Source organism: Homo sapiens, chromosome 7 (assembly GCF_000001405.40).
Source record: "Homo sapiens chromosome 7, GRCh38.p14 Primary Assembly".
NCBI classification, from domain to species: Eukaryota; Metazoa; Chordata; class Mammalia; order Primates; family Hominidae; genus Homo; species Homo sapiens.
In genome coordinates this window covers 134,408,329-134,432,644 of record NC_000007.14, presented here as the reverse complement: position 1 = coordinate 134,432,644, position 24,316 = coordinate 134,408,329, and the positions used below count along the sequence as shown (strand labels likewise).

General features: G+C 44.8%; 1 long non-coding RNA gene across 6 annotated transcripts; it reads left to right on the top strand.

Annotated features, from left to right (window-relative positions):
• The first annotated feature begins 224 nt into the window (after nucleotides 1-224).
• LINC03060 (long intergenic non-protein coding RNA 3060) lies at nucleotides 225-17,079 on the top strand. Of its 6 annotated transcripts, none has more exons than NR_183389.1 (5): nucleotides 225-331; nucleotides 13,671-13,959; nucleotides 14,426-14,673; nucleotides 14,809-14,934; nucleotides 16,233-17,079. It is a non-coding gene; the product is annotated as a long intergenic non-protein coding RNA 3060 (long non-coding RNA). The 6 variants fall into 6 exon arrangements; NR_183391.1 differs by lacking the exon at nucleotides 16,233-17,079 and adding an exon at nucleotides 2,253-2,370 and having other exon boundaries at nucleotides 13,671-14,018; nucleotides 14,809-15,359; NR_183390.1 differs by lacking the exon at nucleotides 16,233-17,079 and having other exon boundaries at nucleotides 13,671-14,018; nucleotides 14,809-15,359.
• Nucleotides 17,080-24,316: the final 7,237 nt, after the last annotated feature.

Here is a 24,316-nt window from a genome sequence, read left to right as displayed (position 1 = left end):
CCACAGACCGGTACCAGTCCATGGCCTGTTAGGAACGGGGCCGCACAGCAGGAGGCGTGCGATGGGCGAGCGAGCAGAGCTTCATCTGTTTTTACAGCCACTCCCCTCTCGCATTACCGCCTGAGCTCCGCTTCCTGTCGGGTCAGCAGCGGCATTAGCGTCTCATAGGAGCATGAACCCTACTGTGAACTGCGCATGCGAGGGATCTAGGCTGCGCGCTCCTTATGAGAATCTAACGCCTGATGACCTATCACTGTCTCCCATCACTCCCAGATGGGACCGTCTAGTTGCAGGAAAACAAGCTCAGGGCTCCCACTGATTCTACATTATGGTGAGTTGTATAATTATCTCATTATGTATTAAAATGTAATAATAATATCCCGAAACCACCTCCCCACCGCCAGGTCTGTGGAAAAATTGTTTTCCACAAAACCAGTTCCCGGTGCCAAAAATGTTGGAGACTGCTGCTCAAAGCAATTTTGTAAGGGATGTATTATTATCCCCACTAAACAGAAGACAAACTAAGACACAGCAGTTAAATGACTTGTGCAAAATACGTGCTGATAAACGCAGCAGGGCGGGGGTTCACGCCTAGGTGTGTCAGGCTTCAAAGTCCGCGCTCTGGGCCACTGTGAACATTCCCGTTTCTGACGGGCTGTATTCTGGGTGGGGTATCCTCTGTCAACAGAGACATCTGTCAGACCATTCCTGCCCTTTTACTTCCATCAGTCCACATTCTGGCATCTTCCGTGTCATTTTTCCTCTTCACTTCTTGTGCTCCTCGGCAGATCTATGACCATCCCAGCCTCTTTCTTTTCTTCCTGATCTTTGGGCAATTCGCCTCCCTCCTGCTTGCTTCAAACATTCACTCTTGTGCAGCAGTTCTTTTCTTATTTATTTATTTTTTGAGATAGAGTCTCACTCTGTCGCCCAGCCTGGAGTGCAGTGGCGCTATATCGGCTCACTGCCACCTCCGCTTCCCAGGTTCAAGCGATTCTCTTGCCTCAGCCTTCTGAGTAGCTGGGATTATAGGCACCTGCCACCACACCCGGCTAATTTTTGTATTTTTAGTAGAGATGGGGTTTCGCCATGTTGGCCAGGCTGGTCTTGAACTCCTGACCTCAAGCCATCTGCCCGCCTTGGCCTCCCAAAGTGCTGGGATTACAGGTGTGAGCCACCGTGCATGGCCCATGCAGCAGTTCTTAAACTGGCACCCACAAGAGGTCTGGATTGAATCCGAGAGGTCTGTGAACATGGACATGGAAAATATTACATTCTATCGTGAATATAGAGAACAGAAGTGGGGCCTGTAACTTTGTCACAAATAGAAAGTCACAGCTCTTGCTATATCCCATTACTGTTACTAGGAATATCTCACGATGTCATCTATGTGCATCACTACTTTGAAATTACCAGAGTTATTAAACCTGTCACTAGACCTGTTATTTAGTCGTTAATAAAAAGCCTATATATTATCATATTACAAATTTGGTTTTTAAAAATATTGTGATAGCAGTCTTTCAAAACTAAAGAATTCCTTGGTAATCTTGTGTGTTTAATTTTATGTACTTAAAAACATTTTTCTTAGAAGGGCTCCAAAAGCTTCCGCAGCTTGCCAAGGGGATCCTGGCATGAAAAATGATGAAAAGAAAACACACTATCCTTGATTTTATGCCAGCTTTGCACCTCCTGACCCAGCCCATATAATGTAACAGTGACCCCCTGTAAGAGGGTTGCACTTCTCCAAATAGGAGGACCACAGGATTTCTCTTCCAAACAGGGACATTTGAGTATAGATAGAGTGATACTAGCATAACAAGAGTAAACTGGAACATATGGCCACCCCTCTCAAATATCAGGTATTCTGGAAACTGAAGAATTAGATAAGAAAATGCCAATGTAATTTACAAGAATCAACATAGAAACACCCTATCTGTAAATATGCTACTGATAAAACTAGATTGTCTCCTAAAATCCAACCAGAAAAAAATAACTAATATGAAATATATCAGCTTCAAATGAAATAATTATAGCATATAATAAAATAACGAATACTAGTGTATCACTTGCTATGGACAGACATTGTCTTACAACAGCCCTCTGAGGTTGGTTCTATTATTGTCCTCACTTTAAAAATGAGGAAAACGTGCCCCAATCACACAGCTAGAAAGAGGCTGAGCTGGTAGCAAATCCAAGCACACTGGCTGCTAACTGTGTGCTCTGACCCACTGTCTCTCGTGTGTCTTTGTTAGGAAATTTCATGATCCGACTGGAATCCAGGAAAATCACAGCTGAAATACAAAACATCAGCCCTTATCTCCAGCACTGTACATGGCAGAAACTGCTTTTATTCTAGATGTCTAGATCCAGGTATTTGAAATAAATTCTCCAGAAGGGGGGGAGAAATCTGGAAAGTTTCCATAGAACAGTTGCAATATCCCTTTATAACTCTTGAGTTGTAAGTGATGCTGTCTCCAGATATTAGCCTTTTTCTTTTAGCTACAACCTCTAGCTCCCACGTCAGAGGCAGCATGGGCCAGTGATTAAGAATCGGGTTTGCAGTTCCAATTCCAGGCACCTATTTAAGCTGGATGACCTTGACTAAGTCGCATAGCTTTTTGCACTGCAGTTTTCACATCTGTAAAATGGAGATAATGCTAATGGAATGCAAAATGCAAAATGGAAATAACGGTGGTGAGGAGTAAATGAGCTGGGCAAATACACAATAATCAGGAACGATTATTACTATCCTTTTACTCATCTCTATTCTGACAGTTTTGTCTCCAAACCCATCTCTCTTGTCTTATTCTGAGTTCTTCCATGCGTTCTGGCGTTTTCAACTTGACTTCTTCTTCAATATTTTTCATCATTTGGTAGCTATCTTTGGGTAATAATTATAACATTTGCTTATACAGCATTTGCCCCAGAACTCGTTTTGCTGAGGCAGCATAAACTGACAACTGGAAGTGAGAATGGGGACATGTGATCTCGTGATTATCACACATTCTCAATTTACCCACTCCATAATAGCATTTGCACCAGAGCTCTTCATTTGCATTTTGCTGAGCCAACGTGAATTTTTAGAAGTTCCGAGTGTCCAGAGAATGCTTCAGTTAGAATTGAGTTGACAAAAAATAGGATAGATCATTTATCACCTCTGTAGAAACAAGATGAATTTCTGTTTACAACTGAAATAAGAAATTACAAAAGATTGTTGGGCCTGACCACATGAAAAATTAAAATAGTGCAAAAGAAAAATAATTCAATACAAAAAGGGAAGCTACAGGCTGGGAGATGTTTACATCGATATAAAAAGGGGTTAATAAATATGCTTTATAAGACACATCTTTTAAGAACATCTTTGTTGCATCTCCGCTAAGAAGGAGGGTATCACAACCCAATACAAACTTACATTGAAATAAAAGTTTCATACAAAAAAACGTACTATACTCTGTCGTTGGGAATGTAAATTAGTACAACCCCTATGGAAAACAGTACAGAGATTTCGCAACTAAAAATAGAGTAACATTCAATCTAGCAATCCCACGACTGGGTATAAGGAAAAGAAATCATTATATCAAAAAAATACCTACACCATATGTTTGTTGCAGCACTATTCACAATAGCAACGATATGAAATCAACCTAAGTGCCTATCGATGGATGATTGGATAAAGAAAATGTGGCACGTATAGACAAGGGAATACTATTTAGACATAAAAAAAGAATGAAATAATGTCTTTGCAGTAACATAGATGGAACTAGAGGTCATTATCTTAAGTAAAATAACTCAGAAACAGTCAAATACCACATGCCCTCACTTACAAGTGCAAGCTAAGTAATGTATACACGTGGACACAGAATGGAGTGATAGACATTGGAAACTGGGAAGGATGGCAGGGTGGGAGGATGGGAGGGGGTAAGGGATGATAAGTTACTTAATGGGTACAATATACACTACTCAGGTGATAGCTACATGAAAAGCCTAGACTTCACCACTATACCATATATCCATTTTAAAAAGATGAACTTTTACCCCTGAAATATATACAAATTTTTTTAAAAAACACAAAAAATCTTACTATATGCAGAATGCTCTGATATTTCCATTTTATTCTACTCTGTTTTTTTCTTTAATACCAGTCATGAGCCACAATATATTTTATAGTCCACTAATGAAATTATGACATACTTTAAATAAACAGTGATGTCAAGAGCTCTTATAAATACATTATTGGATAAAGAATATATATAGATGCTTCAGATAGGAGTAAAAACAATTTCTGAAATATGAAAAAATCTCTACTTCAGTACTCACTCAAGATACACAAATGAATAACAATGATAAAAATACAATTTCCATTGACTAAACTAGCAAAAAATTAAAAGTGATGGTGATATCTGATGCTGATGCAAAGACAGTAAAGGGTTTTCTTTACTACAGTTTTTTACTTATGCCCTCTTTAATTCAAAACACATTTGAGGTGGTTTTATGTACCAACATAGCCAAACAACTAATGGCAGAATCAATGCAATTTTGTTTGAGAAGTAATTTGGTGGTACGTTTGGGAAGCCACAAAAATGTTCATACCCAAAAGTAATTCTACTTCTGGGAATTTGTCCCACTGAAGCAATTCAAAGAAAGAGAAAAATCTCTATGCATAACTTTTTATATCATTACTTAAATAGTGAAAAACGAGAAACAGTCTAAATAGCCAAGAATAGCACAATATTTAAATAAGCTATACTACATCAACTCAAAATATTTTGTAGCCAGTAAAATAATTATGATGACTATAAAGCAACATGAGAAAATCCTCATGCTAACAAATGCAAAAGTTATAAAACAAAACTCTCCATGTATTTCAGTGACTATAGCTGCATAAAGATTACCCAAAAACTTAGTGGGATGAAACAACCATTTTTTACAGATCAGAAATTCAGACGGCTTACAGCAGTATGGCTTATCTGGGCCCACAATGTCAGGGGCTGGATTCACATGAGGGTCATTCAACATCAGTTGATGTTGGTCATCTGGTGAGGCCTTAGCTGGCTCTGTTGGCCAGGACACCTCTGTTTGGCTTGGGCTTCCTCAGAACATGGTGGCTGGGTTCCAAGGACAAAAGACCCCGGCGAGAAAGCCAGGTAGAAGTCAGTTAATCATATATGACCTAGTCTTAGAAATTTTGCAGTGTCATTTCCATTTCCATTCATTGAGTCACAAAATCTTGTCAGTTTCAAAGGGAAAGAAAAGAGATGCCACCTTATGATGGGAGAGCAACAAGTTTCTGGAAAAGCATACAGGACTGGAAATACTGCTATGGCCAGTTTTAGAAAACATAATCTGCCACAATTTTTGATTGGGTTACAACCACATAAAAATAATGAAAGTATTAGGATTAGAACTGGGAAGAAACATGGAAAAATAAATGATTGATTTTAAAAAATTTTCCGTTATTTTGATTATGTTCTTTGGCCAATAAGTACATAATTATTAATACAATTATATTGACAAAAAATTAAGCTGACAGTACTTCAGGAATTATCCCTGGGGGTAACCCCAGCTTTTTGCTTTTACTCCTTTATTGATAGAATCCTGCTGTTCTCACTGTTTTGTTTTTTTTTGTTTTTTGGGTGTTTTTGTTTTTGTTTTTGTTTTTTTTTGAGACAGGATCTCATTCCATCACTCAGGCTGGAGTGCAGTCGTGTGATCTTGGGTCACTTCGGTCTCAACCTCCCAGGCTCAAGCAGTGATCTTCCCACCTCAGCCTCCCAAGTGGCTGGGACTACAGGTGTGTGCCACCACACCTGGCTATTTTTGCTTATTTTTTGTAGAGACAGGGTCTCACTATGTTGCCCAAGCTGGTCTCGAACTCCTGGGCTCAAGCAATCCTCCTGCTTCGACATCCCAAAGTGTTGGGATTACAGGCGTGAGCCATCACACTTGGCCTGTTCTAACCCTTAATTCACTGCATCAGCAACATCCCTCCCATTATCGTGAGATGGGCCTGCAGCCAAGGCCCCAGCGCACTGTGGGCATGAGCCTCATCCATATACACCACCCTCCCCAGGCCTTCATAGCACAGCCTCCCCTCCACAGGGGCAGCCTCATTTGCAGACAACCTCATCTTTCAGTTACTGAAGAATAAAGGGGAAAGGGCACATCTCTGGTCTCACCTATTAATAAACCCTCATCTCCACCTGAGAATTCCTGAGTTCTCACTTGCGGTTGGGTTACAACCACATAAAAATAATAAAGGTATCAGTATTAGAACTGGGAAGAAACATGGAAAAATAAATGACTGATTTTTTAAATTTTTCTGTTATTTTGATTATGTTCTTTGGCTAGTAAGTACATAATTATTAATAAAATTATATTGACAAATATAATTTCCTTCTTGGAGAGAGAGGTCCTTTTCTGCACAAGGCCAGTCCTACCACCTGTCCTCTTAATCATCCCTCTTCAACTTCTTCCCAAGCTGTCCCACTCAACCATCACACTCAAAAGCCTCCTCTTTTTCCTAGCATCTTTCATCTTTGCTCATTGGCTGGATCTTTTCTCTCTACCTACAGACATATCCAGGTCCTCCATAATCCTGATCATGCAACCCACTCAAAGTGTCATCTGATTTATTATTCTTCACCTACTCCAGTAACAAACTCATCAAAGGAAACACTCATTCTAGCTGTTTCCATTTCATCTCCCACTCACGCCTCAACACCAGTGGTTTACCTGACAGATTTCCTTCCAACCACTATGGTCATCTGGCTTTCTTAAATGTCATTTTGATATCCTACTTGTCAAATTGAATGGCTCTTTTTTCATCTTCATCCTCCCTTCCTCTTGCAACTTTAGATTGTGTTGTTCACCATCGTCTTCCTAAACTTCTCTTTCCAAGCTTCCCAGGACCATCTCCCCAGCTCTCCCCTCACCCCCGAGCCCCCTTTCTGCATTTCGCTCTTCCCATCACTGGCTCCTGCAGCCCAGTGTTCTCATAATACTCACATTCTTTAGCTAAGTTCAATGACTCTCATGCTTCTATTACCACTGAATGACTCCTTCATGAAACTGGAAATGTAACGCATACTACATCTTGTATGTGCAAGATTATAAGTGCAACTGTTAAATAAGGCCTATCGCTAGTAAAGTTAATCAGGCTGGATAACTATAAAAGCCCTGGAAGGTGCCTCAGTCTCTCTTGAATTACAGCACACTGGCTTGCAGCTGGCATGGCCTAGCTCTGCAAGAAGAGGCCCCTGGCCTTGCGGGTACTGGTCTAGTCTTCTGGGAGGGCCCCTTGCTCTCCAGGGTGATATTCTTGGCTGACTCCTTCCCTGTGCGCTTTATGGCCTCTGATCTTGAACCCCCAGCTGTCTAGCTTGGTCCTGGGGAGGTCCTTGGATGATGGAGCCACATCTTAACTGTCCCTGGCAGCACAATTCTTACCCCCAGACCCCACCCCATACCCCCTAACTTCACCTTCTTTTTCCCTCGGAGGGAGCAGTGTTTCTTCTAACGCCATAGCTACCTTCGTTTACATTTTCACCACCAGAGCCTTAAGACAGGGTGGGGAGCCTTCCTGTTGATGAGCTAACTGAGGAAGAGGGAACTGAAGGAATTCAGTGACTCCTCTCTCAGGATAATATCCTGGCTTGAAGACCATTGTCCTGCCACATGATCATATTTTGAATGTCAAAAGTTGAATATCAACCTGGCCTTTTTCTAGGCAATCCTTCTCTAACAGGTTCTAATCTCTTCCCAGACACATGGCTGCCTAGGGCAGACTTTGTGTAAAGGTCACAGACTCACAAAGACAAAAGTGACAAATCGCATGCAATTTCAAATTATTTCTCCAGTTACAATCTTGAATCTCTATCCACCCTAACCCAGTGGTTTTTCCAAGCTCTAGCGTTTAATAGCTAACTGCCCATGAGATATCTGCAACTCTAAAGCCAAACTCACTGTCTTCCTGCTCTTCTTCCAGTCTAAAACCTGCTTTTCTTCCAATGTCCCCAACATCCAAGTTTAAGACCAGGTGTTTTTCAAATCCCAGGGCTATTCACAGAGATTCTGAATGGGGCTTAGGAATCTGCGTCTTTAACAAGTAGGCCAGGTTGTTCTGAGTCTGACGGAAGTGGCATGGGAACCACATTTGGAAAATGCACTCCAAGCCCTGCAAGGCAGGAACCAGATCTGGAGGAGAGAGCGAACCCCACCTGTGAAGTCCCCTGTCCCTCCCATCATCTTGCTTCATGATGTCACCATTTGCCCATTTGCCTAGTTGAGAAGCCTGGGAGTCCTTCTCTCTCACTGCCCTGCCCTTGACCATCGACTGACCTGTCTTCCAAGTGCTCTTGCATCTGTCCTCCCCTGGATTCTGCCTCCCATCACCTGATCCAGACCTGTGTCAGTTTTCACTGGAAGGCTACGCTGTCCTATTGATGGCTGTCCCAGCCAGGGCAGCCCTGATCTAATCTGCCCACTGCACCAGCTCCTTTAATCACTTCCACTTCAAGGCTCACAGTGGCTGCCATGTTCTTCAGCCCAAATCCTTCACAGCTGAGGCCAAGCCTCCAGCTGAGCCTCACCACCTGCCCTCTTCCCTCACAGAGTCAAACTGTGGACTTGCCATTCCTCCACCATGCCAGGGCCTCTACATCCCCTGTGCCTTGGCTCAGGCTGTGTCCCCCACTTGGGCAACCCAAGCCTGGCACTCCACAAGTACTTCCTCAATGGGGCTCTGGTGAGTAGAGTTTGGGGGACATACACGATGGCACTACTTTCCTCTCCTCCCACCAGCCCCATGCCACACTCTGAGGTTCACCTGCTCAGCGGGGCCGGGTCCCTAGAAGCCACAGAAGAGCCTAGACTGGCCTCCAAGGTGCCCTATGCCAGGTGGCCAGCTCTGTGTCCTTCCAGCCCTGACACCCTGGGTGATCTTGAGCAAAGATACTTCACCTCGTGGGCCTCAGTGCCTTCATCTGAGAATGGAATGTGGATGGAGGGATGAGTTGGAACAGGCAATGCATATGATTTCCACCAGCTCCATTCCCCTGTAATTCTCAGAGTAATTTGCTATTGTTGTTGTTGTTGTTTTTTGTGAGATGGAGTCTCACTCTGTCACCCAGCTGGAGTGCAGTGGTACAATCTCGGCTCGCTGCAATCTCCACCTCCCGGGTTCAAGTGATTCTCCTTCCTCAGTCTCCTGAGTAGCTGGAATTACAGGCGCCCACCACCACACCCAGCTAATTTTTGTATTTTTAGTAGAGACACGGTTTCACCATGTTGGCCAGGCTGGTCTTGAACTCCTGACCTCGTGATCTGCCTGCCTCAGCCTCCCAAAGTGCTGGGATTACAGGCAAGAGCCACTGCACCCAGCCTTCTCGGAGTAATTTGGATAGCAGCACCAAAAAAGGCTGTGTTTAAGCCCTCAGGGAGGTGGCCATTCAGACCTCCATCTCCAATGCCCCACCCTTAGACTTGATCTCATGGAAGGTCTGGGGCTGGATTTCATCTGCATCCCAGGAGGGGCAAGAGGACCACGGAGGAAGGGTCTCTGGGGGTGGGGACGCTACTCAGATCTGAGATAAGAGAAAGGGTCCCACCAACTCTTCCCCCCAACCTCGGTCTCTGCTGTCATCACCATGGAAATGTACACTCTGGTGGAATAGATTTTTTTTTTCCTAAGACCTTTGTACTTAGATTCCAACCCTGCCCCAGGGTTTCTGAGGAAAAGTTCCTTTTGGAAAATTCCCACCCAGCCCCAGCTGACTAAAAGGGAGGAAGGATTTTTCCACAGGGTGCTCTGGGTTGGTGTGGGATTTAGAGCCCCCGGCAGCCACTTGTCTGAAGGAACAAGGAGCTGGGCTAGACAGAAAGGGAGTCCCAGGCAGGCTGGAGCTGAGGTCACCCGGGAGGGCAGGAGCTGAGGTCACCCAGGAGGGCAGGAGCTGAGGTCAGCCGGGTGGTGCTTCCCCTTGGACCCCACTGCCCCTCCTTGGCATGGATACGGGTGGAGTTTTCACTCTCTGACTTGCTCTTCTAGAACTCAACACTTTGGTTTCATCTGAATCCTAATTATCCAATATATTAAATCAAGTGATAAGATAAACATTTTTCCACCTCTTTCTATCCCTAAGCCTCTGGTGACTTCTTTTTTTCCCTTTTGATAAGTATTTAAATGTTTTTAAAAATTAAAATATAATTCGCCCAATTCACTAAATATGAAATTCATCATTTTAAAGTGCACAATTCAGTGATATTTAGTGTAGTCACTATTTCCTGTGACTTCCTGTCCTGGTGGCATTTCCCATGAGACAGAGAGAAAGGGGGCTGGGGCTGGAAGTTTCCCTGACATGTTCCCCGGGTATGCCAAGGCTTCGGTCCTAAAGGTCTATTCCAGCTCATTGGCACCACCACACCCCTCTCTGGAATTTCTGGGAAAATCCTGTCCATGAAACTGGAAACCAACCATTCATGGGGCAGCTGGGTTCTTAAGTAAAGTTTTCCATGTGACAGAGCCTCTCTCATCAGCGGCACTAGGCTCAAAGTTTCCCTCATAGGCCTGTGGGGGGTTAGAGATCCCTGACCCCACACTGAAGCCAAACCCTCAGGGTGATCAAACCAGGTGAGCTCCAGGTCAGGGCCCCAGAGGAGAGAGAAGAGTCCTGGGATGCTGCTAGAGCCATCACATCCTTTAGCTCAATTCCCTCCTCCTGAAGATGAGGGAATAGAGACCCAGAGACTCCAAAGATGCCCACTCCAGTGACGGCAGAACCAAGACCAGCACCCTGCCCTTCAAATCCTGGGCCATGCATTCTCTACCAGGTGACTCAGTCAACAGCAACCAGTGATTAGACACCCTCTACCCTTCATTGGGCCAGATGGGGGGCACCTGGACATGGACACACAGCCGAGAGGGTGTATTGAGGCAGCCCTGCCCAGTGGAGCCTAACATAACCGGGAGAAGGAAGAGAGCTCCAGAGAGAAACCCCTCAGTGAGGCTGGCTGCCTGGCTGGCAGCTGCCCAGATAGTCCTGTGTGTATCCCAGTCTCATATGAAGGATTCTCTTTCCCTTCACATTTCTATCTTTTTATTTACTTATTTATTTTTGAGATGAAGTCTTACTCTGTCACCCAGGCTGGAGTGCAGTGGCACAATCTAGGCTCACTGCAACCTCTGCCTCCCGGGTTCAAGCGATTCTGCTCCCTCACCCTCCTGTGTAGCTGGGATTACAGGTGCAAGCCACCATGCCCGACTATTTTTCGTATTTTTTTGTAGAGACAGGGTTTCACTATGTTGGCCAGGCTGGTCTTAAACTCCTGACCTCAGGTGATCCACCCGCCTCGACCTCTCAAAGTGCTGGAATTACAGGTGTGAGCCACCACGCCCGGCCCAACATTTCTATCTCTTTTAAACACGACTTTTCTTCCTCCTGTCCATTGCCTCCGCTCTCTTTTTTACAGAGTGGGTAAATGAGACTTCTTGCACCTCACTTACTGGCTTCTCACTTAGAACTCACCTAAGGCACCTGTTAAAAGTACAAACTCCCAGTCACCAGCCCCAGAGATTCTGATTAGGGCTGAGGTTGGCCCAGGAATCTGCACCTTTGACAAGTTCTCCAGCTGGTTCTGATGCAGGCAGTATAAGAATGGCATTTTCAAAACATTTCCTTGTGTCACCGACTAAATAATTCCATATTTATTGTTTTCCCTCTAGAGAGGATTCATAGCTGCTGCTCCATCCTCATTCTCTGGCTTGCCACCCTTCCTAGCACAGCTGTTTGATGTTTCCTTCTGGTTTAGCCGGCCCCATTAACCCTACGCTCTAATGATCCTACATCAGGTTGAGGCTCCATAACTCTAAGGATAATAATGTTAATGAAAAACCAGCAGCCAAGCTCTCACTCACAGACACACCACTTGGGGGAGTCATTGCTCCACTTTTCTTCTCTGGTCCAGTTGACTGGAGTTCTGTAGCTCCTACTTTTGTGTTGATGGTTTCGGGGGAATTTTGTTTTGATCTGCTTTTCATCCTCTGTTAGAATCTTCAGTTCAGATAGACAGTGACACAATGGGCAGCGGGTAGCCTGGGAAAGGGGGTGGGTTTCTTTCACCCTCACCACAGGCCTGAGGAACGTGAGACCCAGCGCGATCTCTCCATATCCCACATTCTTTTGGCTACAATTGCATCTCTGTACATTCACTGATCAAACACCAATAACAAAGCAGATTTGTGAGCGATTCTATCTTGGACAACTCAAGGGCACTTAGGCCTCTTCCTACAGTCAGGAAGGAAAATACTGAGCCCTGACTGCTAAGCCGTGGACAGAGTGGTTCACTTCTACAGCCAAGGGCAGGGCAGATTAAAAAATAAATGAGAAGAAGGAAAATGAAGTACTTTCTAATGAATGGACAAACATAGTCCCATTCACAGTTGAAATCAATGGGGCAAAACTAGATGACATTTGAGCAAGCCAGATTGAAGGTCCCAGAAGCCCTCATCTCCTTCAGTTTCCTGAGGACACCTCCCACCCCCTCACAGCTGCAGATCTCTGCGGTTGTTCCAGAAGCCACTGGAGGGTGTGGCTGAAGCCACGTGGGATGTACAATGTAGATGATGCCCTCCCTGTCTTCATCCTCTCTGTGTTTAATGAGGGTGCGGGCAGGATGGGGTTCCAGGTTGGTTAAGGTGAAAATAGAACTTAAAGGGCTAAATTTTGGAATTACATCAAGTCATTTGGGAACAATTAAAAGCAGGTAGGACATGGCAAGGCAGGAAGAAGCCATGTCTCAGTAAAACAATGGGAAGTGAGATGGAAAATTGTTGAATGAGAGGCCGACTCTGGCAGGGGTGGAGAAAGCCCTGATACTGGTCATCTATTTGGGTGGGCATCTATTTTCTTATTTCAGTGCCCATAGGGGTCTTTTGCCTTACTGTTCTTCCACAAGCCTCCCATACACTCAACTCAACCGGCCACTGGACCCTGCTATGGGCAGCATCTGAGACCACTGAGATCACTTCCTTTCCTGAGATCCACCCACTTTATTTGCATCTCTTTCCTCTGCTTTATGATAACCCTACTCTCAGGACACCAGATCTGCCTAAACAAGACAAAAGGGGAAAAATCCAACTAACCAACAACCCATAGGGGTGACGTGTAGCTAAGCGACTAGTTTATCTGATTTGCTTGATGCTCAACTGTGGATGTCAAAGTCATTTAACTGCAGTTCGAAAGGGGTTGTGCTGTGTGGCCTCTCCATGGCCACTCATGAGCCAGGTGTTTGCCTCCACTGTTAGCTGTTGCCCCAGTCTAGATGTGCTGGCTTCCTGTGGCCCCAGCCCCTGTGTGTGGGCATGAGGTTCACATCCCTTCATTTACACACCCACTTAGCAAATATTTACTCTATGCCTGCTCTGTGCTCAGCCACCCTCTAGGCACTGGAGGTCACAGTTGTGGGTGTGACAAGGAGGTCTTTGCTCTCATGGAGTTGATGTTCTAGTGAAGAGAGACAAGTGATAAACAAATAAACAAATAAATCAGATGGCGATGAAAGTTGGGGTGGAAGTAAAGAAATGCAAAGTGACCCAGTGTATCTGGGGGCTTAGTTTAGAGTGGGAGGGATCTTCAAGAACCATGCAAGTCTTCCCTAATTGCATCCTTTTCCAGATCAACTGCATGGGGTCCTACAGGAGAAGACCAAGAGACAGAGACAGAGACCAGGGAAAATGACCGATACCATTCCTTCTCAGGGATGCTACACACCCATGGGGCAGAGGATAAGAGGTTCCTGAAGGCATCACCCCTCTGGCCATGGCTGGTGTGCAGACAAAGCTGGAGATTTGGAGTAGCCTGTTGTCCCACTGACTCTTAGACTGCCCCAGCTAAGAAGAACCAACTCCTCCTATTACAGATGAAATAAACAAAGCTACTCAAGCTCTCTGGCATCGCCCTGACGGTCATCATGTGCTTCACATTTCCCTCCTGCCCCCCCTGATTTTCTGGAAAAGGGAGAAAGTGTGTGAAAAAAAATGGACAATAACTTCTGTTAACTTTGTAGATGTCTGGTTCCTCCATATGAGGCTGTGCTTGAATCAATTTTGGAGAGAGGGTTTCTAAAGTCTCTCTAGATTCTATTAATTTTGATAGAGACAATAAAAGGCAGCAGGACCAACTCTGTGTGGTGGGAGATCTAGCAACCATTATAGTCACAATAGCCACCACTTACTGAACACCCACCATGTGACAAAGAACAAATGTGCATGAATTATGTCACATTTTTCACAAGCACCCCTTGAGTTGGGAGTTCACTCATGAGGCAACTGAGGTTCAGGGAGATGAAGTAACTCACCCTGTAGGTAGGAGGGCTGAGATCTGGACGTAGATCTTTCCTCCAAAGCTTTGTCTTTTTTTTTCTACTATAGCACACCAAAGAGAGTTCTAGAAAAAATGAGAATAAGAAATTTACCTGTAATCCTTGCTCAAGAAACTGAAGCTCTGAGGCCACATTGTTCCAGCCTTTTGCAGCTCCTGCATGTGGATACCAGCACCAGCAGCTCCCCGACCAGGGGCCCCAGCTAAGCCCTCCCAGAGGATGATCTTGGCTTTGTACATGGGGTGTCAATATCCTGTGAGTCCAACAGAGGGAAGACATAAGAATATGGTCACCCAGGTAAGTGGTGGATAGCTGAGTGACTGTATTCTTGCTCACCACCACCCCCATCAGAGGGGGTGTCTTTGTTTCTAGTTGGGGGAAGCTTTGGTAGACTGTCAGTAATTCCTCCCTGTGTCCCCCATCCTGTGTCAGGTAACAGACATTTGTCTTAATGTATTCACTGTGTCATCAGAAGCCACTTCTTATCCATCCTTGTGAATACTTGATGAATGAGGAGTCAATGATTAAATGAAGGAAAGAAAAGAGACTGAAAAGGAGGTATGAGAATGGGAAAGACGAGTGGAAAGACGAGATAGATATTGCCCTAAAGACACAGTAAGCCATCAAATATCTGTTTTCTAGTCCCCTTCTGGGCCCTCTTGGATTTTGAAAAAGGGAGGAAGAAATTGGAAAAATTACCAATAACTTCTATTGACTTTGTAGATTCCTAGTTTCCCCACATGTGGCTATGCTTGAATCAACTTGTAAAAGTCTCTTTATAGTCTGTTGATGTTCATGCAGGCACTAAAAGGCCACGGTCGGCCTACTTAGATGATCCACTCCACCCTGGGCTCCGGAAGATGTTCCAGGGCATTTGCCTTTACTTGACCCTATGCTGAGAAGCTACCAATATTTTTCTTTCCCCAAATTGGTTTTATTTGTACCCTTTATATATTAAATATTAGAGTATTGGCCAAGTTGAAGGAGTCTTCTTCTATGGCTGGTTTCAATAAACATGGTGGAATAAATATATATATCATATATATATAGTATACGTATATATATTTTATATATATAGTATATGTATATACATTATATATATAGTATATGTATATATTATATATATAGTATATGTATATATTATATATATAGTATATGTATATATATTATATATATAGTATATGTATATATATTATATATAGTATATGTATATATCTTATATATAGTATATGTATATATCTTATATATATAGTATATGTATATATATACACACATGTGTGTATATATATGCATATATTTCTTAGTAATTTAAAGTTGCAAGGGACTTTGGGATCATGAATCATTTTACAGTTGTGGAACTGAGAGCCAGCAAAATTAAATGACTTGCCCAAGAATACTAGCAAGTTAGTAGCAGAACCAGGACCCATCTTGTCTTAAAAGGCTTAAGAGGTAGTCAGTCAATTAATTAATCAAATATTTATTGATAACCACAATCCATCCCCATCCCTCATGAAGAGCAGAGACTAAATTGCCAACTTGCTTTCGCCAGGAGGGCTATGATACAATGTAGAAAGTACTGGCATTATTGTGTTGCTCATATTAAGGCTTGTGGCAACTCTGAATTCATGAATTATAGTGACTTTAATAGACAACATAAAATAGTGAACTGAAGGATGACTTTTATCTGTAGGTCAAGCAAAGGGATATAGACCGTATGGAAATACAGCACCTCAGGGGTGCCTGGTGTAATAAGAAACAACTTTAAAAAAAAAGGAGGGGATGTGGCCCTAAAAGTTATCAACTGTCAATCAGACTTGACCATGAAAAATTGGCCAAAGAAAGATTTGGGCCCACAGGTTTTGTACAGAGGAAATCCAGGCTCCTAACGATGGCGAAAGATGGGAATAAAAGGATCAGAACACTGAGCTGGATCTTCAGTTCATTTCAGGTATGGAGAAGGGTAAATGGTCTTTAAAGAAGGCCGACCTCAATGAAGGTGTCTTCCAAGGCCTTGTCCACTCAAGGACATGTTGCATGCCTGAAACTGAGTATACAGGAAAAGGATAGAAATGGAATAAAATGGAAACCCATAAATCACACTACCCTGCTATGCAGTTTCAAACCACTGACTTAATGAAATGTTGATCCACTTTGCCATGGATGCCCCACTTTTTAACTCCTTCTTCAGAGTCCCAGGAGGTGAGGCTCTTCTGTTTAACTGATTTGCAGAATTTTTGCTTCTGCTATTACAATGGCTTCCATAGTTGAGTACCAAAGACACTTTACTATGGTGCCACAGAGATCATTTTGCAGATGAGGAAACAGACTGTTCTACTACCCAGGCTTTGGTTTTTTCTACTCAGTCTTGCACAATCTCTCACTCTCAGCCCAGAACATTGCTGCATTTTTGTGAGCCATCAGCATCCAAAGTGAACACAGGGTCTAAATAACTGAAGATGGCATGAGGGAACACACAATCAGGTCTTTAAAAAAAGAAGAAAGTGAATAGGCAAACTGAACAGGACATCTAGGACTGAAAAGCCTCTGTGAACAACTGGACTCAATATGAAATTGGCGTGAGCTCACAGAAGACCAGCTGAGTTCCAGATGTGGTTGGGTAGCTTGGGTTATGGGCCCGTATAAAAAAAATGGTCTCTTCTTGTAAAAGGAATTCAAAAAAAGACTAAAAGTCACCCCAAAGAGTCACTGTCTTTGTCTTTTGGCCATTAGTAAGTCAGAAGAGACCTCTAGAGGAGACTGGATTTTGTGGCTGATTATCGATTAATTGATCATCACTGGGTATCTTTGGGAGTGTTGCCTTCTCAGGGAGAAGCTGAAAATCATTCTGTGAAAGGTATGTCCACTGACAATCATTTAAGCTCTTTGGAGGCAAGAAATCAGGTATCTGGGAGAACTCAGAGATAACATAGGAGCGACAGGCTGAAACCATGAGCGAGATGGGCAGATGGCTTGAGAATGACGATGGGCAGAGGAGAGCAGTGGCAGGGAGAACCCACAGGCCTCTACTTGGAGTCAGCCTGTCAGCAGGATAAGCTACAAGATCACCCTCGAGGGAAACTGCAGGCCAGGTCAGGGGCACTGCAAGCTGCAGGTGTGCCCAGGCAGGAGGGCAGGTGGCCTGTGATGAGGGGCCATGACTGTGTGGTGGGCTCTCCCACACCAGGAGCAACTAGACACTAGACTGAAAGTTCTTTTAAGTGAGGGAGCCATCTTCTGTCCAGGGAAAAGTGGTTCGGGATACAGGAGGAGCCCTGCACCACAGAATCGGTCTAGTCTCAGGCTGTCTGTTCCACAGGAGCCTCCAGCCCAGTGATGTAGGCAGCTATTCACAACCACATCATGGCACAAAGTGAGGCCTCCCAATCCACAGCCATCCCTGATTACAGACACTTCACTGGATGTCTGAACATAGCTGTGTGTGCCTGGAAAGCCTAGAAATAGAAACGCTCCTTTTTTCCCCAAGACGATCATCTCTACATCCTGACCTGGATCAACAGTGATCCATTCTGGACAATCCTGGACACTCCTGCTCCTGGAGAGAAGGGATAGATAACTTTTCCACCTGCCTGCCTGTCCTGTCCACCTCGAGGTGGTCTTGTGGCATCTTGGGCCTCACATGTCCCATAGTCTCTTCTCATCCCTCCAATTTGCTCCTTCTCCAGACTTCTCTCTCTTGGTTGAGTGGTTCCACCATTTTCCCAAGTTGCTTGGACCCAACACTTGAGTTACAGCCAACTCCTCTCTTTCTCTCACAACCCAAATCTAATTCATCAGTAAGTCCTGGTGGCTCCACATTCGGAATGTTCCTGGGATGCCACCACTTTTTGTCATCTCTGTTACTGCTAGCCTGCCCCTTGCTACTGTCAGCTCCAGCCTGGAGGACTGAAATAACCTCCTCACTGTCTCCAGCTGTTCTTCCCGCCCATGGTCTATTCCCCAGACACCACCAGAGGGATGCTTTGAAGTCCAGATGGCATCATGTCATTTAGAATGAAACCTGAGGTCCCAAGTGTGGCCCGAGGGATGGTCAGGTTGCCCCCAGGGCTCCATTTCCTGCCACTCTTCCTCTCTCTCACTCTGCTGGAGCCACATGGTTACTATTCCTGAACACAGGAGGCTCCCTCCTGCTTCAGGTCTCGTGCAGATTTGTTCCCACAGCCTGGGGACAGATTTTATCCCAGAAGTTCCCAGGGCTTGATTCCTCCCTTTATTTAGTTCTCAGCTGAAATGTCCCCTCTTCTGAGCAGCCTTCTCTCACCACCCGATGGAAGCAGCCGTCCCTGCACGCTCTATCACTTCACTCGGCTCTATTTTTCTTCCTAACACGTTCACAACTTGACATTCTTTTATAATTTTTCACTTATTTATTGAGTGCTGTCTCTTCCACTAGAACCCCTGAAAGCAGGGATTTTTATAATCTTTTGGCCACCACTAGATTCATAAGGATGCACAGAGCCTGGTAGGCTGCAGGCTGTCCATAACTGCTTGTTGAATGAATCGATGGATGAATGATCAGCAGAAGCTCGTTTCTCTCCATGAAATACAACGGGTTCCAAAGAAATCGAAGCCTTTTTGAAAGGCCTAGCCATACTTCACCCATACAGCTGCAGTGGCAGATCCATGCTCATGACCTCATTTCTCTCCTCAGAACCACCTTAAAAGTAGACCTTTCAGAGCTACCCGAGAATCCTGGTCCCTGCAGCTGATCTTCCCACCTCCACCCAGCTCTCGTCCTCCTCTTCCTCCCCATCCACCATCCTGACCAGGTGAGCTGGCTTCCCCTGCTCAACAGCTCTACGAGTTTGCACTTCTGGATTTGGTCAGGTCAAGACCAGCTCCCCCAAATATACCTCTGTCCTAGACAGCCTTGTTCTAAACAGAAACTGATGATAACATGGAGGAAGAGGCTTGAACGGAAAGGTGGAGGAGGGAAGGAAGGAACAGGGAGAAGTCATCTCTAGGTTGGCAGTCCCTGTCAGCCTCTTAGGACTTCTCACCTCTGCAGCAGTGATGGTAGAGTCGTGTCTTACTCCCTGGGGGGAGGTGGGTGGTTCCTGACACCATCCCCTGCTTCCCCAAGTTCTCCTCTTTAGAAAAGGATGGAGGTCTATGATGCAGGCAAGGTCATCACAGATTCTATTCCCTCCTTCTAGTGATCTCAAACGTGACATTAAATAAATGTAGCAAAGAGGTTCTTTATGAAGCTTTTGATTCTGAAATAGAATCATTCATAAAATATGAAGTAACTCTAGATACCAGATCACCTATCTTCTCATTTAATCCATGAGGAAACAGAGAGATGCTAAGTAACTTGCCCAGGGTCACAGAACTGGTAAGGCACTAAACTAGGACTTGAAGCCTCCTGAGCTGCTCTGCTGGACCGCCAAGATGCTGCAGAGACCAGTTCTTTCCAGCAGGAAGTCCAGTTCCCAAAACACGCATGGGCTGCTCCAACCTTGCCAATAATTCCCCCAAATGGTGGAACCTGCAAACATACCCCATTGGCCTAAAATATTTGCTTAAGGTCCACCTCATTTACCCCAAATTATCATCCTCTTCCTCTCTCCTTCCTGCCTCTGCCCTACTCTTCCAATCTCAAATCCCTCAAGCTATCCAATAACTATTGAGAGTTTAGGCATCCAGGTCCTCAGCTGTACCAATCCAAGGCTGGGGAAAGATCTCCTTTCCTTTTTCTATCTTCATTGGAAGATATTTCATGAAAAAAATCAGCAGTGAGTTCTTCAATAGGGGAGCAAACATTGCTTCAAAACTCAGCTCTAAACTGCAGAGAAGGCCAGGCACAGTAGCTCATGCCTATAATCCAGCACTTTGGGAGGCTGAGGCAGGCAGATCACAGCATTTTGGGAGGCTGAGGTGGGTGGACCACTTGAGGTCAGGAGTTCGAGACCAGCCTGGACAACATGGCAAAACCCTGTCTCTACTAAAAATACAAAAATTAGCCAGGCGTGGTGGCAAACACCTGTAATTCCAGCTACTCAGGAGACTGAGGCATGAGAATCACTTGAACCCGAGAGGCAGAGGTAGCAGTGAGCCGAGATCACACCACTGCACTCCAGCCTGGGCAACAGAGGGAGATTCTGTCTCCAAAAAAATAAAAAATAAAATAAACTGCAGAGAAAATAGCATGGGCCAGGCCAGCCAGAGGGTCCTGTGCCACGTGCCATCAGTGCTATGGTGGGAGCTTATTTCCACTCCCAGGTCAGCACCTCCTCCCTCATCTGTGCCCCCTAGGTCGGCAACCCCTGGGACCCAATGAATGGCTAACCAGGCCTGCAGCTGAAAGCTCTGGCTCGTAATTTGTGAAATCCTCTCCTCCTGGCAGCATGTGAAGTGGCCATTTAACAGATGGCCAGTAATATATTGCATTCCTGGAAAATCTATATTTCAGTAGTCACATTATTTACATTTTTCATTTATTAATCCTATTAGGAATATTCCCTCCAGGACACAAATAAAGGTGGAACAAAAAAGCAAGACAAATAGGCAACTGTGAAAAAAACCCACCTTATTCAAAGGCCTGCTGTTTCCCCTGGGCACAGCTTATATATCACCTGTGTGCAAATAGGACATCTGACTTGGTGCAGATAGGAGAACATCTGCTGCTCAAATGTCTTTTGAGTATTCCCAGAGACCCCATGAGATACCAGCCAGAGGAGTCTCTTGCTGCAAGGAAAGCTGTAGCCAAGTATATAATTTTTAATCCAGTAATATCAAATTCAACAAAAACTGTCGAGAGCACAAAACATGGTTAGAAAATAGACCAATGGAAGAGCCAGCAGGCATGGGCTGTTTGGTTGGCTGACTGGTGGTAATGAGTGTACAACGGGCTAAACATTGACCTGGATGCATTGGCAACATGGTGAATGCAATCGCCTTCATTTCAGCCCAATGCCTGGCACGTACAAAGTTTGGGATTAATGCTAGGCCATGAGGTCGTCATTGCTGTTTCACCATCTGCTAGAGGAAATGCTCCTCATCCTTCAGGGACCAGCTGTCATGCTGCCTCTTCTGTTAACGCGTCCTTGCATTGGTGCCTTCTCTAAACTCCTGCAAAATCGACCTTACTTTTTTTCCTCCATGTTTTTTAGTCCTTTGCCAATCTGATGTCCCTCACTGGATTGTTAGCTCCATAAAAACTATAATTTCTATTTACCTTTGGTTCTACCCCCACAGCACGGCCCCTGCAGTGACCTGCATCTAGTAAGGGTTACTATAAGTAAGTGATACAATCCCAGAAGTTGACAGTTTCCATATGTTTTTGGTTTGGGTGGTGTATTAGTCCATTTTCACACTGCTATAAAGAACTATCTGAGACTGGGTAATTTTAAAAGAAAAGAGGTTTAATTGACTCACAGTTCCTCATGGCTGGGGGGCACTCAGAAAAGTTACGATCATAGCATAAGGGGAAGCAGGCATGTCTTTACCATGGTGGAGCAGGAGAAGTGGCGGGGCGGCGGCATGGGGGCAGGCGGGGGGAGGCGGGGCATGCCACACACTTTTAAACCATCAGATCTCATAAGAACTCACTCACTATCACAAGAACACCATGGGGGAGATCCACCCCCATGATCCAATCACCTCCCACCAGGCCCCACCTTCAACATGTGCAGATTACTATATATATATATATGGAGTCTCGCTCTGTCTTCCAGGCTGGAGTGCAGTGGTGTGATCTCCGCTCACTGCAACCTCTGCCTCCTGGGTTCAAGCGATTCTCCTGTCTCAGCCTCCCAAGTAGCTGGGATTACAGGTGCCTGCCACCATGCCAGGCTAATTTTTGTATTTTTTGGTAGAGACGGGTTTTCACAATGTTGATCAGGCTGGTCTCAAACTCCTGACCTTAGGTGATCTACCCGACTTGGCCTCCCAAGGAGATTACAACTTCACATGAGATTTGGATGGGGACATAGAGCCAAACCATATCAGGTGATTTCATTCCTGTGTCCTAACTCTTATACTGTAATTTCAGAGAGGGGAGAAGAATGTCATAAACCAGACAGGCATCAGGGAAGGGGGATTCTTTTCCTCACCTGCCTTCATGCTTTAGTTTTCTTGAATTCCAAGACAATGGAAAGAATCTTCACCAATTTTAAAGAATCAAGAAATGAAAAAAGGTGGAGGCATCAGTTTCCAAAGTTATAATTTGTTCATACCTAAGATGAATACTAATTCCTATTCTAACTACCTCACAGGACTCTCCTGAGGCTCAAATAAGATAATGTGTGGACAGAAACTCTTTGCTGGTAGGAAAGATGATATGGGTGTAAAGTATTATTAGCCCTTTAATCTTTCTCGTCTCATAATGGAGAAAATTTTCTAAAGACAAATTGGGAGCTCATTTCAGTCTCTCAGCAGCCTCTTGCTACATGATGTCCATGACAATTACATGCTGCAGAAGAGTGTGGCTGAATCCAAATAAACAGTAGCATGAAATACATTTGTCAGTGCTCTGGCCCTGCTAAAGACAGGTGGAATTCTCCTCCAGGCCCCAGGATTCATCCACTGGCTGAGATGCAGTGGATGAACGGTATAAAAACACGGTAAATGCCACTCTGGGTCAGACCTTTCTTTCATGGATCCAAGTTTTCTGCTCTTACTGTTCCACCAAGGGCCATTCTGTAGGAGGATGTGGCTGTTCCCCGTGATGGTGGAACACAAAGCCTAGAGTAGCCCCTTTGGGACTGAGGGACTCATTGCTCCTGCTCCTGGGAATGATGGCAGCTGGTGGTTCTCCTAATCAGGGCACTAACCTCAGCCTCAGAGTCCCTTACTCAAAGCCACACCCCGTCCCATATCCAATGACTATGGTGTGTCAGTGGTGGGAAAGGAGGCAACAAGACCTGGCTCCCTTGTCTAGGGTGGGACAAGTCTGCAGGGCTGATTTCCCATAGGGTCAGCTGAGTTATCTGATGCCATTTTATTGCTGCTCAACTTCTCCATTTGCCCAGTCCCACGTCCCTTGCCCTTCACAAACATTGTCCCTGCAAACACTGTTTAATAAAACTGAATACTGATCTCTGAGGAACTTCACCTATGACACTTCCCAAACAGTGCATCTGTGGATGGGTTACTGGTCTGTAGGGATATTGATCCGCTAAGCCTTTGGAGAAACTAGGTGGATCCTGCATCAATCCATGTCCCCAAACCAGTTACCTGAGTTGTAAGCGTCATTCGCCCTCTACCCCAGCATGCTACACAAGCATTATTTTCGATGTGCCATGATGAGAACAGGGACCTGTGTAATGTCAGTAATGTGTGGCACACTCAGAAATAAATCCGTTTTAACACAGTATAGTCATCTTTCCAATATCCATCCCTCTTCTTTCTTACTAATGGATCCCTGATTTTTTTTTGCTTCCAGGCAGTAATTTTCCCAGCAAAACAAACAAACAAACAAAACCATTTCGCAGCCTTCTCTGCAGCCAGGGAGAGCCATGTATATAGTTCTTGCTCAGTGGACAGAAGCAGAAATGTGCTGCTCTTCTAAGAAAGGCATCTCCATGTTTTCATGTTGTTCCCTTCTGTATCTTCCTGCCTGGAACAGGGATGGGAGGCTAATGACCAAGAAGATATCCACGTGCTGAGTGGATGCATCTTCTATTGCAGCATTTAAAAATACGCCAAACTTTGGAGGCTTTAAACAAACACTTGTTATCTCAGTTTCGTGGGTCAGGAATAATCATGGGGATTCTGTGCGGTCCCTTGGTTATACAGCACATAACTGTTACAACATGAGAGGAAACTACACCAGGGTATACATCCCAGGAGGCGAGGCTCTTTCGAGGCCTTCTCAGAGGCTGCCTCCCCCAGCCCAGCCTCTGACCCCGAGGAGTCACATCCATCCCACATACAAAATATCGTCATTCTCTCCCAAGGTCTCCAAAGGTCTCATCCCATT